We start from the raw sequence: 19,095 nt of genomic DNA, 5'->3' as shown, positions 1-19,095 counted from the left end.
TGATCATTTATGACCCCAACATGAAAAAATAATGTCTATTAACATTTTGAAATATTTTCAGTTTTTTGTGAGGAAGATGTTCACTTTACAAGGATATCCCTGGGTGTACCTATAAATGTATATATAGAGATAGTTTACCCGTATTGAATTATACTATATATAATGATACTATGTATAATTCAGTATCTTTTTTTTTTTTTTTTTTTTTTTGAGATGGAGTCTTGCTGTGCCCCCCAGGCTGGAGTACAGTGGCATGATCTTGGCCCACTGCAAGCTCCGTCTGCCGGGTTCACGCCATTATCCTGCCTCAGCCTCCCTAGTAGCTGGGTCTACAGGCGCCCGCCACCACACCCGGCTAATTTTTTGTATTTTTAGTAGAGACGGGGTTTCACCGTGTTAGGCAGGATGGTCTCTATCTCCTGACCTTGTGATCCACCTGCCTCGGCCTCCCGAAGTGCTGGGATTACAGGCGTGAGCCACCGCGTCCAGCCAATTCAGTATCTTTCTTACTTTCCAAAATGATTCTAATTTCATTTCATTAAAATTATTCAAAATACAGTTTTAATACCATGACCTTCTATTATATAAAATGTTGTTATTTACTTAATTTAACTCATATTTAACCAATAAAATATATGTATTTTAAAAGTTACAAAATACGGCAGTAACCATTTTCCTTAGAAGTTTGTGAGAAGTCAACAATAAAACTTTCTGTCTTCCTGACCTCCAATCTTCTTTGAGGCCTTTGATAGGAAGCAAGGCATAAAGTGAATGTCACAGAGCTGTTGTCATAATGACCAAGACGGGAGGTAAGGAGGGGTTGTACTCCCATATTGTACAGTAGCTGGCATCATTTATTTCAGAAAACACTGGGAATTCTCCAAGGCCAGAAAGTGAATAAAACAAAAATGATTATTTGATTTCTGCATCTGCTAAAGTGGACTCACCTGGTATTTTTAAGCCTTCTCGTATGATTTGGAGACTTAATCTTTAAAATGTGTATCCTTACTTGTGAAAGATTATGCTAAGTAATTAGCAAAGAATGCTATGTGCATCAGAGTGCAGAGTTTAATATTAATTTTGTTTTGTTTTTTTTGATCCTCCTGAGTTCTTATAGCTATTGGCTGAAATCTTTTAGAAGTCGTATAATAAAAAGAAGGATTGTCTTCAGAAACCATGCTTATTCCCTGATCCGATGACCTATCATATTTTATTTTACTAAAGGCTGAAACAAGTACAAGGCAAAACACTATCATATTTTATTTTACTAAAGGCTCAAACAAGTACAAGGCAAAACACTAATATACTAAATATTTGTTTTTGCTAGTTTTTTAAGTTAAGAATGGAAAATTATTTTTATTCTGTAAACACAATTTGACCGCAAAAAGCTTAGTTTATTTATTTATTTTTTTTCACAGTCTCACTCTGTCTCCCAGGCTGAAATGCAGTGGCATGATCTCTCGTCTCACTTCACTGCAACTTCTGCATCCCAGATTCAAGCAATTTTCCTGCCTCGGCCCCCCAAGTAGCTGGGACTACGGGCACACCCCACCACACTTGACTAATCTTTTTTTTTTAATTTTTTTTTGTAGAAACAGGTTCTCACTATGCTGCCCAGTCTTGTCTCAAACTGCTGAGCTCAAGTGATCTGCTTGGCTCAGCTTCCCAAAGTGCTGGATTACAGGTGTGAGCCACCGCACTTGGCTTTAGTTTAAAATTAAACTCAGTTAAGCAAAACCTGTTTAGAGAAGGAATCTGTTAAGTCCTATACACCCTCCCTATCATTTTATCTGTTATCATTTGCTGCATTAAAAATCACTGCCAAAACTTAGCAGCTTAGAAAACCAGCCATTCATTACATTCATCACTACCAGCTTATGATGTTGTGGGTCAACTGGACAGTTATGTTATGGTCCAAGCTCAGCTTGTTTCAAATAGAATTGCTCATGAATATGTTTTCAACTGTGAATCAGTTTGCTGATTTTGGCTGGGCTCTCCCATCTCTAAGGCTTGGCTGAGACAAAATGCTTACTCTGCTTTCCTCCATAAAAACATCTCAACCTGCAACAAACTAACCTTGACTTGATGTTTAAATGGAGCTGAGAAAGGTCTCAAGAGAACAGGCTATTCACAAACTCAGCCGGACTTCCAGAGAGAGAAAAATAAACTCCATTTCTTGATGGGTGGAGCTGCGTGTACCACCGCAAAGTGCAAGAATACAGAGGGCATGTTTGCTATCTGCCCGTAGCACTGAATCATATTTATATTTTACCTAAAATCCCTGATAATTCTTAAAGACAATGATGATTTTAATATTCTCTTTTATCCAATTATCATGAGCAATGCCCTGAGTATAGAAGGACAATATAATAAATTGCACAGTTAATATTGTTTCCCTTTTGGAAAAAAAGAGTAGGAATCATTTAGACTAATTTTTCATAACCAGCAGCACATTTCTTCTACTTCTTTTGTACAATGCACTAGAAAAGATCACAAATATGACTAATACATTGTTTTACATCTCAGTGTAGGGTCAGTCTTAAAGACATTTTCCATAACGAAGATATACAACCACCATATTGCCAAGAGTCTATTGTTTTATGCATTAAGCTTGGTTAGTTCTACCAATAGCAATCACCTTTACAATGCGTCAGAAAAAATCTTTTTAATACTTTAAGTTCTGAGATACAGGTGCAGAATGTGCAGGTTTGTTACATAGTTATACACGTGCCATGGTGGTTCGCTGCACCCATCAACCCGTCATCTACATTAGATATTTCTCCTAATGTTATCCCTCCCCTAGCCCTCGACTCCCCAACAGGCCCTAGTGTGTGATGCTCCCCTCCCTGTGTCCATGTGTTCTCACTGTTCAACTCCCACTTATGAGTGAGAACATGTGGTGTTTGGTTTTCTGTTCCTGCGTTAGTTTGCTGAGAATGACGATTTCCAGCTTCATCCATGTCCCTGCCAAGGACATGAAATCATCCTTTTTATGGCTGCATAGTATTCCATGGTATATAGGTGCCACATATTATTTATCCAGTTTATAATTGATGGGCATTTGGGTTGGTTTCAAGTCTTTGCTATTGTGAACAGTGCTGCAATAACTATACGTGTGCATGGGTCTTTATAGTAGAATGATTTATAATCCTTTGGGTATATACCCAATAATAAGATTGCTGGGTCAAATGGTATTTCTATTTCTAGATACGTGAGGAATCGCCATACTATCTTTCACAATGGTTGAACTAATCTACACTCCCACCAACAGCGTAAAAGCATTCCTATTTCTCCACATCCTCTCCAGCATCTGTTGTTTTCTGAGTTTTTAATGATCACCATTATAACTGACATAAGATGCTATCTCATTGTGGTTTTGATTTGCATTTCCCTAATGACCAGTGATGATGAGCTTTTTTTCATATGTTTGTTGGCTCCATAAATGTCTTCTTTTGAGAAGTGTCTACTCATATACCTTGCCCACTTTTTGATGGAGTTGTTTGTTTTTTCCTTGTAAATTTGTTTAAGTTCCTTGTAGATTCTGGATATTAGCCCTTTGTCAGATGGATAGATTGTAAAAGTTTTCTCCCATTCTGTAGGTTGCCTGATCACTCTGATGATAGTTTCTTCTGCTGTGCAGAAGCTCTTTGGTTTAACGAGATCTGATTTGTCAATTTTGGCTTTTGTTGCCATTGCTTTTGGAGTTTTAGTCATGAAGTCTTTGCCCATGCCTATGTCCTGAATAGTATTGCCTAGGTTTTCTTCTAGAGGTTTTATGGCTTCAGGTCTTACATGTAAGTCTTTAATCAATCTTGAGTTAATTTTTGCCTAAAGTGTAAGGAAGGGGTTCTGTTTCAGTTTTCCGCATATGGCTAGCCAGTTTTCCCATCACCATTTATTAAATAGGGAATCCTTTCCCCATTGCTTGTTTTTGTCAGGTTTGTCAAAGATCAAATGGTTGTAGATGCGTAGCATTATTTCCGAGGCTTCTGTTCTGTTCCATTGGTCTGTATATCTGTCTTGGTACAGTGCCATGTTTTTTGGTTACTGTAACCTTTTAGTATAGTTTGAAGTCAAGTAGCATGATGCCTCCAGCTTTGTTCTTTTTGCTTAGGATTGTCTTGGCTATACAGTCTCTTTTTTGGTTCCATATGAAATTTAAAGGATTTTTTTCTAATTCTGTGAAGAAAGTCAATGGTAGCTTGATGGGGATAGCACTGAATCTATAAATTACCTTGGGCAGTATGGCCATTTTCATGATATTGATTCTTCCTATCCAAGAGAATGGAATGTTTTTTCATTTGTTTGTGTCCTCTCTTATTTCCTTGAGCAGTGGCTTGTAGTTCTCCTAGAAGAGGTCCTTCACATCCCTTCTAAGTTGGATTCCTAGGTATTTTATTCCCTTTGTGGTAATGGTGAATGGGAGTTCACTCATGATTTGACTCTCTGTTTGTCTATTATTGGTGTATAGGAAAGCTTGTAATTTCTGCACATTGATTTTGTATCCTGAGACTTTGCTGAAGTTGCTTATCAGCTTAAGGAGATTTTGGGCTGAGACAATGGGATTTTCTAAGTATACACTCATGTCATCTGCAAACAGAGACAGTTTGACTTCCTCTCTTCCTATTTAAAAACGCTTTATTTCTTTCTCTTGCCTGATTGCCCTGGCCAGAACTTCCAATACTATGTTGAATAGGAGTGGTGAGAGAGGGCATCCTTGTCTTGTGTCGGTTTTCAAAGGGAACGCTTCCAGCTTTTGTCCATTCAGTATGATATTGGCTGTGGGTTTGTCATAAATGGCTCTTATTATTTTGGGATACATTCCATCAATACCTAGTTTCTTGAGAGTTTTTACCATGAAGTGGTGCTAAATTTTGTCGAAGGGCTTTTCTGCATGTATTGAGATAATCATGTGGTTTTTGTCATTGGTTCTGTTTATGTGATGGATTATGTTTATTGTTTTGTGTATGTTGAATCAGCCTTGCATTGCAGGGATGAAGCCAACTTGATCATGGTGGATAAGCTTTTTGATGTGCTGCTGGATTCAGTTTGCCAGTATTTTATTGAGGATTTTCACATCGATGTTCATTGGAGATATTGGCCTGAAATTTTCTTTTTTTGTTGTGTCTCTGCCAGGTTTTGCTATCAGGATAATGCCGGCCTCATAAAATGCGTTAGGTAGGAGTCCCTCTTTTCATATTTTTTGGAATAGTTTCAGAAGAAATGGTACCAGCTCCTCTGTACCTCTGGTAGAATTCAGCTGTGAATCCATCTGGTCCTGGGCTTTTTTTGGTTGCTAGGCTATTAATTACTGCCTGAAATTCAGAATTTGTTATTGGTCTATTCAGGGATTCGACTTCTTCCTGGTTTAGTCTTGGGAGGGTATATGTGTCCAGGAATTTATCCATTTCTTCTAGATTTTCCAGTTTATTTGCATAGAGGTGTTTATAGTATTCTCTGATGGTAGTTTATATTTCTGAGGAATCAGTGGTGATATCCCCTTTATCATTTTTTATTGTGTCTATCTGATTCTTCCGTCTTTTCTTCTTTATTAGTCTGGCTAGCAATCTGTTTTGTTAATCTTTTAAAAAAACCCAGCTCCTGGATTCATTGATTTTTTGAAGCAATTTTTGTGCCTCTGTCTCCTTCAGTTGTGCTCCGATCTTAGTTATTTCTTGTCTTCTGCTAGCTTTTGAATTTGTTTGCTCATTTCTCTAGTTCTTCTAATTGTGATGTTACTTTGGGCTGTATGGCCATTTTCATCTTAGATCATTTAGATCTTTCCCACTTTCTCCTGTGGACATTTAGTGCTTTAAATTTCCCTCTAAACACTGCTTTAGCTGTGTCCCAGAGATTCTGGTACATTGTGTCTTTGTTCTCATTGGTTTCAAGGAACTTATTTATTCCTGCCTTAATTTCATTATTTACCCAGTAGTCATTCAGGAGTAGGTTGTTCAGTTTCCATGTAGTTGTGCAGTTTTGAAGGAATTTCTTAATCCTGAGTTTTAATTTGATTGCAATTTGGTCTGAGAGAATGTTTGTTATGATTTCTGTTATTTTGCATTTGCCGAGGAGTGTTTTACTTCCAGTTATGTGGTCAATTTTAGAATAAGTGTGATGTGGTGCTGAGAAGAATCTATATTCTGTTGATTTGGGGTGGAGAGTTCTGCAGATGTCTATTAGGTCCACTTGGTCCAAAGCTGAGTTTGAGTCCTGAATATCCTTGTTAATTTCCTGTTTTGTTGATCTGTCTAATATTGACAGTGAGGGGTTAAAGTCTCCCACTATTATTGTGTGGTAGTCTAAGTCTCTTTGTAGGTCTCTAAGAATTTGCTTGATGAATATGGGTGCTCCTGTATTGGATGCATATATATATTTAGGATAGTTAGCTCTTCTTGTTGAATTGATCCCTTTACCATTATGTAACAGCCTTCTTTGTCTCTTTTGATCTTTATTGGTTTAAAGTCTGTTTTATCAGAGACTAGGATTTCAACCCCTGCTTTTTTTTTGCTCTCATTTGCTTGGTAAATATTCCTCCATTCCTTTATTTTCAGCCTGTTTGTCTTTGCATGTGAGATGGGTCTCCTGAATACAGCACACCAATGGGTCTTGACTCTTTATCCAATTTGCAATCTGTGTGTTTTAATTGGGGCATTTAGCCCATTTACATTTAAGGTTAATATTGTTATATGTGAATTTGATCCTGTCATCATGCTGTTAGCTCGTTGTTTTGCACATTAGTTGAAGGAATTTCTTCATAGTATCATTGGCCCTTATATTTTGGTGTGCTTTTGCAGTGGCTGATATCAGTTTTTCCTATCTATATTTAATGCTGCCTTCAGGAGCTCTTGGAAGGCAGACCTGATGGTAACAAAATCCCTCAGTGTTTGCTTGTCTGGAAAGGATTTTATTTCTCCTTCTCTTATGAAGCTTAGTTTGGCTGGATATGAAATTCTGGGTTGAAAATTATTTTCTTTAGGAATGGTGAAAATTGGCTCCCACTCTCTTCTGGCTTATAGGGTTTCTTCAGAGAGATCTACTTTTAGTCTAATGGGCTTCTCATGGTAGGTAACCTGACATTTCTTTCTGGCTGCCCTTAACATTTTTTTCCTTTGTTTCCACCTTGGAGTATCTGATGATTATGTGTATTGGGGTTGTTCTTCTTAAGGAGTATCTTGGTGTTCTCTGTACTTCCTGAATTTGAATGTTGGCCTGTCTTGTTAGGTTGGGGAAGTTCTCCTGGATAATATCTTGAAGTGTGTTTTCCAACTTGGTTCCATTCTCCACATCACTTTCAGGTACACCAATCAATCGTAGGTTTGGTCTTTTCACATAGTTCCATATTTCTTGCAGGTTTTGTTCATTCCTTTTCATTCTTTTTTCTCTAATCTTGTCTTCATACCTTATTTCAGTAAGTTGATCTTCAATCTCTGATATCCTTTCTTCTGCTTAGTCTATTCAGCTTTTGATACTTGTGTATGCTTCAAAAAGTTCTCATACTGTGTTTTTCAGCTCCATCAGGTCATTTATGTTCTTCTCTAAACTGGTTATCTAGTTAGCAATTCCTCTAACCTTTTTTTCAAGGTTCTTAGCTTCCTAGCATTGGGTTAGAACATGCTCCTTTAGCTCAGAGGAGTTCATTATTACCCACCTTCTGAAGCCTACTTCTGTCAATTCATCAAACTCATTCTCCATCCAGTTTTGTTCCCTTGCTGGTGAGGAGTTGTGATACTTTGGAGGAGAAGCGGTATTTTGGATTTTGGAATTTTCAACCTTTTTGCACTGGTTTTTCCTCATCTTTGTGGATTTACATACCTTTGGTCTTTGATATTGGTGACCTTTGGATGGGGTTTCTGTATGGACGTCCTTTTTGTTGATGTTGATGCTATTCTTTTCTATTTGTTAGTTTTCCTTCTAACAGTCAGGCCCCTCTGCTGCAGGTCTGCTGGAGTTTGCTGGAGGTCCACTCCAGACCCCTTTTGCCTGGGTACCACCAGCGGAGGCTGCAGAACAGCAAAGATTGCTTTCTGTTCCTTCCTCTGGAAGCTTTGTCCCAGAGGGGCACCCACCAGATGCTGGCCAGAGCTCTCCTGTATGAGGTGTCTGTCGACCCCTGCTGGGAGGTGTCTCCCCTCAGGAGGCACGGGGGTCAGGAACCCATTTGAGGAGGCAGTTTGTCCCTTAGCAGAGCTAGAGCACTGTGCTGGGAGATCTGCTGCTCTCTTCAGAGCTGGCAGGAAGTAGCATTTAAGTCTGCTGAAGCAGCAGACACAGCTGCCCCTTCCCCCGGGTGCTCTGTGTCAGGGAGATGGGAGTTTTCTCTTTAAGCCCCTGACTGGGGCCGCTGCCTTTCTTTCAGAGATGCCCTGCCCAGAGAGGAGGAATCTAGAGAGGGAGTCTGGCTACAATGGCTTTGCAGAGCTGTGGTGGGCTCCGCCCAGTTTGAACTTCCTGGAGGCTTTGTTTACACTGTGAAGGGAAAACAGCTTACTCAAGCCTCAGTAATGGTGGATGCCCCTCCCCCCACCAAGCTCCAGCATCCGAGATCCACTTCAGCCTGCTGTGCTGGCAGCGAGAATTTCAAGCCAGTGGATCGTATCTTGCTGGGCTTTGTGGGGCTGGGATCCACTGAGCGAGACCACTTGGCTCCCTGGCTTCAGCCGCCTTTCCAGGGGAGTGAACAGTTCTGTCTCACTGGGGTTCCAGGTGCCACTGGGGTATGAAAAAAAAAACTCCTGCAGCTGGCTTGGTGTCTGCCCAAACAGCCACCCAGTTTTGTGCTTAAAACCCAGGGCCCTGTTGGTGTAGGCACCCGAGGGAATCCCCTGGTCTGAGGGCTGAGAAGACCTTGGGAAAAGCACAGTATCTGGGCTGGAGTGCACCGTACCTCATGGCACAGTCCCTCAAGGCTTCCTTTGGCTAGGGGAGGGAGTTCCCTGACCCCCTGTGCTTCCCAGTAGAGGTGACATACCACTCTGCTTCGGCTCACCCTCCATGGGCTGCACCCACTGTCTAACCAGTCCCAATGAGATAAGTCATGTACCTCAGTTGGAAATGCAGAAATCACCTGCCCTCTGCATTGATCTTGCTGAAAGCTGCAGACGAAGATGTTACTATTTGGCCATCTTGCAAGCCACCCCATCCAGAAGATACTTTTAAATGGCTTCCATTTTTCCTCTTTTCTAATACTTGCCCATTTGCTTGTGATAAATGTAAACTACTTGCTTCTCTGTAATATTGTTTTTTTATCCCTCTGTTTTTTATTTGATTCTATCATTCCTTTTATTTCTTTGATTAATTTTATTTATATTTACTTACTTCATTGTATTAAGCCATCACTAATTACTTTACAAATAAAAAGTGAAACACTTTCAAGAAGAAAAAGCAAAAGATATATGTTTGGTAATTAAACTATACACATTAAAACAGATGACATAAACCTCTACAGCTCTTGCAAATATCCATGTATAGAAGCTCCAGGGCGTATCCATCTAACTTCCCATTTTTCTATGATGAAGCTTGCTTTCACTCAGGCAAAAAATCACAGCCAATTAACATTTATACTTTAATTTCTCTTAAATGCATTTAAGTATTTTAGTGTATTGTTCCATATTACTTAGGGATTAAATATGAATTTTGAAAAACTGAGATGAACTAGTATTTATAACACTGTTTCTGAATGATTCATGTATTAACGGCTCCAGTCATGACACAGTATTTACAGGTGACCATATAATCTACAATTGAGTTTTTAATTTGGGAGTTACCATAGCAAATACATTTTTCATTCTAAATAGTATTAAATTTTTCTTGGTATTACAATCTAGTGCATTCAAAGGTTAAATAATCATTGGCAAGGGACTTTGGACAAATGAGATGGTGAAAATCTTTTTCTCTGACATTTAGCAATGACAAGCAAAACTCAGTTTCAATAATCATGATTCATTTAATACCATATTTAGAAGACTGGTACTTAGTGGTTTGTCAACTGGCATTTGCAAACAGACCAATTTTCCCTCTTTTTTAATGGTACAACTTGAAGTAATCAAATTTAATTAAGATAAAACAATGAGAATACAAAATAAAAAAATAACTTACTGATAATTGAGGAAAATATATCTTTCCATGGAATAATTTGGACATTTTTCCACTAAAGTTTTTAATACATATAACCAGTTGAACTTATTGCTAAAAATTTTATTGCTACAACATATGTGGTATCTAATTATTATAGAAATTCTTAATTATAGAAATCCTTGATAATTTTTACACAAAATATTATAGTAGTTTACTTGGTACAATACTTAATTTAATTTTGTTGTTGGTACTCTGTTGAATAGAACAAGATGAAAGAATAATAGTAAAAATATAAGTACTAGTTCTGATTACAACATCAAATAACTATGTGCTTTTAGATAATATTTTAGAAAAATTCTTATCACATAATAATACTGTATCACAGTCTCATGCAAATGATATGTGGTTAAATTCTCTGCGTTCATCATTGTCAATTAGTTCTCATGTTTTCTGTGACTTTGTACTGCCTTTAATTTTGGCCAATTGCCTCATATATGTGCCATTGGCAATTATAGGGACAAAACAAGAAATGGGTTTAAGGAAATCAATCAGCACTTTAGGAGAAATAGAAAGGGAAAAACATAAAAGGATTGCACATTAATGAGTTGTTATGTATAGTCTCTATATATTTTTCTCTTTCTATACATGACTTGTATTACTTTCACAATGATAAATCTTACTGTTATATCATTCCTGAATGGAATTAAATCCCTCTGCTCCCTGAATAAATTTTTGGACTTCTTTGATCTGATGATAACTTTGACAACTGAAGAAAGTATTACCCTGATCGTTATGATTTCTTAGTCATAAAAATCTTTCTAAAACATTTCTACAAAATAGCCAGAATACCATATCTATTTTCTAATATTACTTCCCAGTTTTTCACAGTTGTCTCACAGAGTGAGAACTTCTCACTCTGGCAAAGACTGATGGGGTCATTCACTACATGTAAAGGATTTGAAATTCTCTGAAAGAAAGTGGGATTTTTTTTTTTTTTGGTATTCAACTGCAGACTTGAATTTTGAAACAGAAAAAAAAAATAGTCTATTTATTTATCATTGCCAGTTGATAAGAAAACCAGATCCCCAAAATATAGTTTTCAATCTGATAGCCACTGAACATAACAAATGCAGTAAAATCACTCACTATGGAAAGAATTTTATCCATAAAATTGTATACCTAGAGGATGTGTAATGACATTAAGACTGGGATCCAGTTAGAGCAATATAAGGCTGCCTACTGATTGATTAACTTTTGATTTGTAATAATATTTGGAATTTCTCATATTTTATGATTAAATTATATTGAATCTCCTTTCTTAGGATTTCAGGGAGAGCCAAGCATGGAGAAATGAAAACAGAAGTTCTGATCTATGATCTTGTTTTATTTAGAATGTTTCCTTATGTATTTAACTCAAGTTAGTTCAAACACATTCAATTCAGTAAACATTAATTGAGGGATTATGACTTTCTAGGCACTGATTTGGGGATTCAAAGCTAAAAAATTATTTCATCACTACTCTTAAAAAATCTCCCACTACTTCAGCATTGCCAACAAGGTAAGATAAAGACTTATAGTCACATTTGGGCTGGGCGCGGTGGCTCACGCCTGTAATCCCACCACTTTGGGAGACCAAGGCAAGTGAATCACTTGAGACCAGGAGTTCAAGACCAGCCTGGCCAATGTGATGAAACCCCATTTCTACTAACAATACAAAAAAATTAGCCAGGCTTGGTGGCACAAGCCTGTAATCCCAGCTACTTGGGAGGCTGAGGCAGGAGAATCACTTGAACCTCGGAGGGAGAGGTTGCAGTGAGCCGAGATTGCACCACTGTGCTCCAGCCTGGGCAACAAAGCGAGACATTGTCTCAACAACAACAACAGAAAGAACTGTAGTCACATTTGAATTAAGTGGTTATATCACAGGAAGTATATTTCAGATCAAGAAAATAGCATAAACAAAGGCACAGAGGTGTGAAGTTCCATGGCATGCTGAGAGAATAGTAAATAATCAGGGAGGCTGAATTGTTTCAGAAAATTAACAGAAGAAATATAATCCTAAATATGTGTTGTTTTCCTACCCTTGTTCTAGAGTAAGAAAGGTTAAAAAAATCTTTTAAATTAGTGGGTTAGATTTGTCATCAATATGATTGTTGAAGTGCCCATACTGTACAAAGTAATTTGAGGAAACTGGAAGCCAGGCACTAAAATAGGCAGTGAATATGGATTAATAAAACACAGAAATGCAAAAAGAATGTCAAAACCATATTTAACAGTTTCCACGGAGGAAAGACTGAACAGAGAAGTAATGAAGTGGAACCAGAAGTAAGCCACTTCTGGCAAGGAGTGTGTGAGATTTAAAGGACAGTGTCTTAGTTCTTTTGGCCAGGTTTCTAGGAATCAAGGCAAGAAGGTAAAGGAATCATTCTCTGCTTATGTAATTCACTGTGAGTACTAAAAATGCAATGGAGTGAGTTTAGAATGGAGATTAGCAAAAGTGGGAAAAAGTTCTGTGAGGAGTGATGGCTCCCTAAAATTAAATAAGAGAATCCAAAGCACAGCTAAAAGTGAGATTGCTCTTTTTGTGGGAGATTAAGAATCCTGGGGTAGTGGAGTAGAGAAGTGAGAGGCAAACAGAAAAGTGAGAGGAAATTGAGAGACAGCAGTGCATAGAAGACAGTAGTCTCAAATAATATTTTGGTTATTATTTCTCTTGAAGAAATGTGTTAACATTAGATGCCACTCAATTTGTCAGCCCTGGGTGAGTAATCTGAGCAAGATTATGGAAAGTGTACACTATTAGATTTTAGTAGAGAAATGATAGCTTCTGTAAATGACATAATAATCTAGGCAGGACAAACCCAAGGTAATTTAGAAATTGTACATATCTAAACTCATTCAATTAAAGGGGTATTAATATTTTTAAGGGCTGGCACTGAGCATCGGTCATGCACTGACAAGATGTTACAGTGTGAAACCAACTGACTAAACTGCTTATGAAGGGGTTACATCTCAAAATAAAATAACGTATCATGTAATTCATGAATGGAAGTTTAATGGGATGACACTCATTTACTATTATATATAGTTTTGTGATTTTTATGAACATGTGACTTTTATGGTATAAGCATAGCTTCTGAAATTGTTTTATTTTTTAAGTTTTGCTTCCCAGACTAGGCAACTTATTAGATGTTATTCTTTGACTAAAGTTTTTAGTCACTGAAAAATAGCAATACTAAGTAACTAAGTTATTTTTTTATGAGAATTTAAATATCTAGTTAAGAATTACCTCAACCTTTTAAGCTGTTACAATAAATAACTAAAAACCTATAATCCCAGATAACTTTTCTGCACTTTATAGTCAGAATGAACTGTTGGCATGGAGCAAGGGTATAATCCCAAAGGGATTTTTTAAATCATCTTGTGTTTTTCATTCTCCTTTAGTGTGAATAATAAAGTGCACTTTAGTTAGCTGGTTAGTCATCTTTGGGATGCATCTAAGAATGAGGAACATGATAGCACCAAATACGTTTCTCTCTCTCATAGAGGTAGGGTCCCATTGTGTTATACAGGCTGGTGTCTAACTGGTGGGCTCAAGTGATCCTCCTGTATCATGCCTCAACCTCCCAAAGTGCTGGGATTAGAGTGAACCACTGTTCATGGCCCCAAATAAATTTCTTGCAGAGATATATATGAGGTTATATGTATATACATGCTCATGCTGGTGTTTCTGTTTTTATTCACATTAGCAAAAAAAAAAAAAAAAAAAAGAATCAATGGGGCTGACATTTTAATTTGTTTCAGCTGTGATAACCAGCAATTATCCATTGCATTTTAATATTCCCAATATAGATTAAATGGTTTTGAATTAACTAGTAAACATTCAATTCAGTTATGTTCCACAAGCAGTTAATTACAGATAAGCTTAAAAAACGAATATTATAAGAAAGGGACTGAATATCTTTGTTTGCTTACACATCATCAGCTGTTTCCTTTCTTTCTTTCTTCCTTCCCTTTTTCTTCTTTTATTTCTTGCTTTCTTTCTTTTCAGTGTAATAATCAGTAATAAAACGAGTAGTAAAGCATTAAAATAATAGTTTTTGCAGAAATCAATTATGGTTTCAGATCCACTGAAAGTAGTAGAGAAAGTATCTGAGTTTGATTTTGTGTGTGTGTGTGTGTGTGTGTGTGTGTGTGTGTGTGTGTGTGGCCAGGCTGCCTGGGTTGAGTTAAAGGAACTTCAGTTTGTTTAGTTTGTTTTATAAAAATTATGCTTGCTCCTGGTAGAGTTAGAAATAAAATTTACTTAAGATATGGAAAGCTGTATTTCCAGAGACTAGAATAAAAGCTCTCCTAATACCCTGAATATTGAAAATACACACATTCATTCATATTAGAAGATTTCTACTACTAGTGTACTAATAAGCAACTGTGATATTGAGTTTACCATAGCATTGTAAAGGTCATGTGTGTACAATAAGTATGTAAGCCTCAAATTGCTATTATATCCCCAGCAAGCTAAGCAGCCAGATATAACTTCTGTTCATATTTTCTAATCCTTGTTTTGCCTATCAAAATTTACTTTTGCGTTAACATTCTGGGATTTGGGGGAAAGGGAAAATGATACAAATAATGGTTCAAAAGCATTTCAGTTATTTGACAGAGAAGCCTAAATCTCCAAAATATATTTAGAAAGAGAAAAAAATTCTTTCAGGACAATTTGTGATTTTATTAGGAAAAAATGCCACTTTTATGTCAATGCTTTTACCTTTTTTATAATAGTAATAAACATTTAAGCAACATGTTTAAATATCTTATAGTGTCCTATTGGTAGATTTTTGCATATGTTACGTAACTAACAGCACACCTAAGATGCATGAATGACATAAGGAAAGAACAAAGCAATAGTTCCACTGCCTGGTCAAAAGCACAGAACAGGAGTGATCTAGAAGAGAAGTGGGGAAAAGACTGGTAACCTAAAATGAGGGAGAAAATATTGCTCATTGTTTTCTTCATTGCTTCCTCCTTCTCTTCCTTCTTGTCTTTCTTTCCTCCCATGAAATGGTTAGATACATGTCTCTGGTGGCAGAAGAAGGGGGGATGAGTTGAGTACATTAGATTAAGGTGAATTGACAAATAGCCAAGGAAGCCAGAGATGACCAATGAGGAGGACAGATGCTAGACAGGCAGAAAGCAAAGCACCATAAGGAATGTTGGTACCAGCACCACAAATAATACGGGGAGGCAGTTGACACTCACATGAGTCTCCCAGTTCTTTTCAATAGCTCCCATATACCCTCAACCTCTTTCCTATCACAGCTTTTTGCTGGAACTAAAATTTGACTATCTCCTGAGACACTACATCCCTAGCACAGCCTTTTTCATTAGAAGCTGCTGATTCTCAAACACTCTTGATATGCCAAGATTGGGTAGTAAGTTGATGGGTTTCCTGCGCACTAATCGATGTAACTTCCGTTTCAAAATTCTATCTATCTCACTTCTTAAAATGAAGCAAAAAATTATTTTCCTTTTAGCCTTGTGCAATTTGACCCCATTACCTCTCCCACTTCCTGTTCCTGTTCATCACCAACCTAGTGATATTCCCCATTACTTATTAATAACTTTAGCAAATGCATTTCATTCTTCCACTCCACTGAAACTTCTGTATCATTCACGTTGCCCCTACCATCTACATGTTTGATCCATCCTTCACCATGACTGATCAGTTGCTTGGACTTTTTATTTTCACCAATTTTTAAACTATTCTATAGCCAGACCTAGAATTTCTCACTAGTAGAAACTGCATCATCTGTGAAATCATAATTTTCAAACATCCACCTGACCATCACTGGCTTCCTTCAGGCTCACTGGCTCGATGAGTTTCATCGATGAAATTCTTTTTTCTCATTGAGGTCCTTGACCCCACCATTTTTATACCACTCATCAATTCCTTCTTCGATTAACTTTCCTCTTAGATCAGCCTTGATTCTATGGTATAGGACACCCACACTTTGCAATTTCTTTTGACTCCTTCAACTCTCTCTCCTTCCATTTTACTGACACTGAATGAAAATTTGTATGCAGTTCAATTCTCACATAAAAACTGTTGAAATTTTCTGGAGACAATCATAAAACTAACATATATAATTTAATTTGTTAAAGTCAGGTATGTTGAGCTACAATTAACATATTTCCCTCCTGCTCTTTTCAACTTATCATTTTCCCCCACCTCAAAGTTCTTAGCAAGTGCCTGAAATATTGAATATACTAAGGGACAATAGTCAAACCATATATAAAAATACCATATATAAAAATAGAACTCTGACCCACAATCTGTAGCAAACAGTCCAGAAAGGTAAACCACAAACTCTGCAGCAATTGGCCCAAAACAGACAGAACTCAATTAATAACAAACATTTTTCTCTAATTCCCATCTCCACTGTAAAGATAGGAGCAGACAGAGCCAAATATGCTCCCTTAACCAATCATATAGGATACCCACTTCTAGTTACCCCATCTCCAATTTCTACATGCCCCAAACCTCCAATCAGGGATTACCTGAAGGCTTCCCTGTGTTCCCCTGTCTGCCTTTGAGTCTCTGCCAAAATCAAGTGATGATGGCTGACTCTCTTGCTGTGGTGAAATCTGAATAAATGGGCTCTTACATTTTCCGTTGGGTCATCTCCATTTATTTCAAGTGTTTTCCTGGAGGTCCGATGGAGACAGCATGGTAGCAGAGCCCAGCCTTCAATCAGGTGCATACTCTCCAAGGCCCCTTGTGTCTTTCTGCTGGAGTCTGCACTGATATTGTAACTCAGCACTGCGTCTGAACTCTGCTTTCTTTGTATTGATATACTTGACTATTTTTTAAGTTTAGAACCTGGGTTTTGTTATTGGCTGCCATTTGTTTGGCATCTTTGGTAGAATCAGGCTACTCCTTTATACCTCATTTGCTGTCTTTTGTGTTATCGTTTTGTGTTGGGGTATCCAATCATGTGTTTGTCATAATAGGGAATATTATAGGGTAGAAAGTACGTATCAGCCCATTGTTCAAGCTAGCTTGACAGATGGTTACATTTGGACTGGCATTCACTTGACAAACTTTTGTATGAGTCATCAATGAAACTGGATGAGGTTCTCCTTCATCCACAATTTGTGTCCTGAGAGCTGAGTTTTCATCGGCAGAGAGGTTTCTACCTGCTGGTGGGGTGTAAAAATTGTTGGGTTGGGGGCCTGAGACACAAAGTGCATAAGCCTTACATTCCTATTGACCTTTGCCAGCTCTCATGGGGTTGTATACATCTAAATCTTTTCCTCTTCCAGAAAAAAACAAACAAACAAACAAAAAAAAAAACCCTGCTCTTACTTGGACATTCATTACAATCCTAAATTTTGTGCTTCTCTTTCTAAATGGCATAATTCTACCAAGGATGATTTGGGCCTACACTAGCAACTCCGGGGAACACTTGATTTGAACAAAATTGCTCATTCCAGAGAATCTTTAGAAAAGAAAGAAAATAATTTGCCAGGCCCAATGGGCAGCATTTTCTGCAGTATGTATGCAGAGGCCTCCAAATAAAATTCTGAATCAAAGATAGCTTCTGCTAAATTTTTTCTAGTCTCCACACTTGACCTCATGGTTTCTCATGCAGTGGAAATATTGCTAGTGACTGAGAACGCACAACGCTTTTCGGCCAGCTGATCACCCTTTTACAGGATGCAGTTACTCTCTCTCTTTAACGTTTGTATTCATCAACACAACACCCTGAATCCTGCCCCTCTCCTGCCCCTACCAGAAGGAGAGGACCATTATGGTTGTCTTACCTCAGTTATAAAACTTTCTGTACCTCACTCAGATTTATTAGAGATGCCCATTAAGAACTCCGACAATATTATCTGCCACTGGATCATAGCTCAAAGTGGACTTTATCAATCAATTATAGAGTTGAAACTAATCTAGTCTTTCCTTTAAAAGTCCTCTACCTGAAATAGAATTCATATACGATAGCTTTTATTTGTAGCCCTTTTCTCTTAACATAAAATGCTTAAAATTTATTTAAAGTTTTGGAGGTATCAGGAGTCCTTTTATTCTTATTACTAAGTAGTATTCCATTGTATGGATATGAAACAATTTGTTTATCCATTTATCAATCAATGAATATTGGTTATTTTCATTTTGAGATAATTATGAAAACTTATTTTCCCACAAACTCTTGTACACGAATGTTCATAATAACCTTATTTATAATAGCTGAAAACTGGAAACAACCCAAATTTCCTTCAAGTTGATACATCTTTACGATATAATACTACTCAGCAACAAAAGAAATTCTCAATACAATTGTTAATGCCATAATTTGGATGACTCTCAAAGAGGAGAGTAAGGGACAGGGCAATCTTAAGGAGTTACGTAAGGTAGAATTCCACAATCCCTAAATTGTTGGGGATGGAGGGATGGAGAAAATATTTGTTGTTGCTGGGAATCAGGGTTGGGGGAAGAGTGGGTGATTATTAAGAAATAATATGACAGAGTTTCCCTGTGATGCTAGAATGGTTCTACATTCCAATTGTATTGATGGTTACTTAGATCCGTACATGTGATAAGAATTTTCTGAAACTAAACGCATGCACACACACACACACACACACAAAGTACAGGTGTACACTGGTGAAATCTGAATTAAGCCTATGTCTTACTCTTTTTGCGCTGCTATAACAAAATATCAACACTGGATAATTTGTAAACAATAGAAATTAATTTATTATATTTGTGGAGGTTGGAAAGTCCAAGATCGAGATGCCAGCAGGTTTATTGTTTCATGGGGCTACTGTCTACCTCCAAGAAGACATCTTGCCTCCAGAGGGGAAGAACACTTTCCTCACATGGTGAAACGGACAGAAGAAACAAAAAGGGGGTGAACTTCCTCTGCTAAGCCCTTTTATAAGGGCATCAGATGCCATTAATGAAAATGAAGCCCTTATGACTTAATCAGCTCCTAAAAACTACACATCTTAATA

The sequence above is a fragment of the Homo sapiens genome, chromosome 2 (genome assembly GCF_000001405.40).
Source record: "Homo sapiens chromosome 2, GRCh38.p14 Primary Assembly".
Taxonomy (NCBI): Eukaryota; Metazoa; Chordata; class Mammalia; order Primates; family Hominidae; genus Homo; species Homo sapiens.
Note: the sequence above shows the minus strand (reverse complement) of the source record.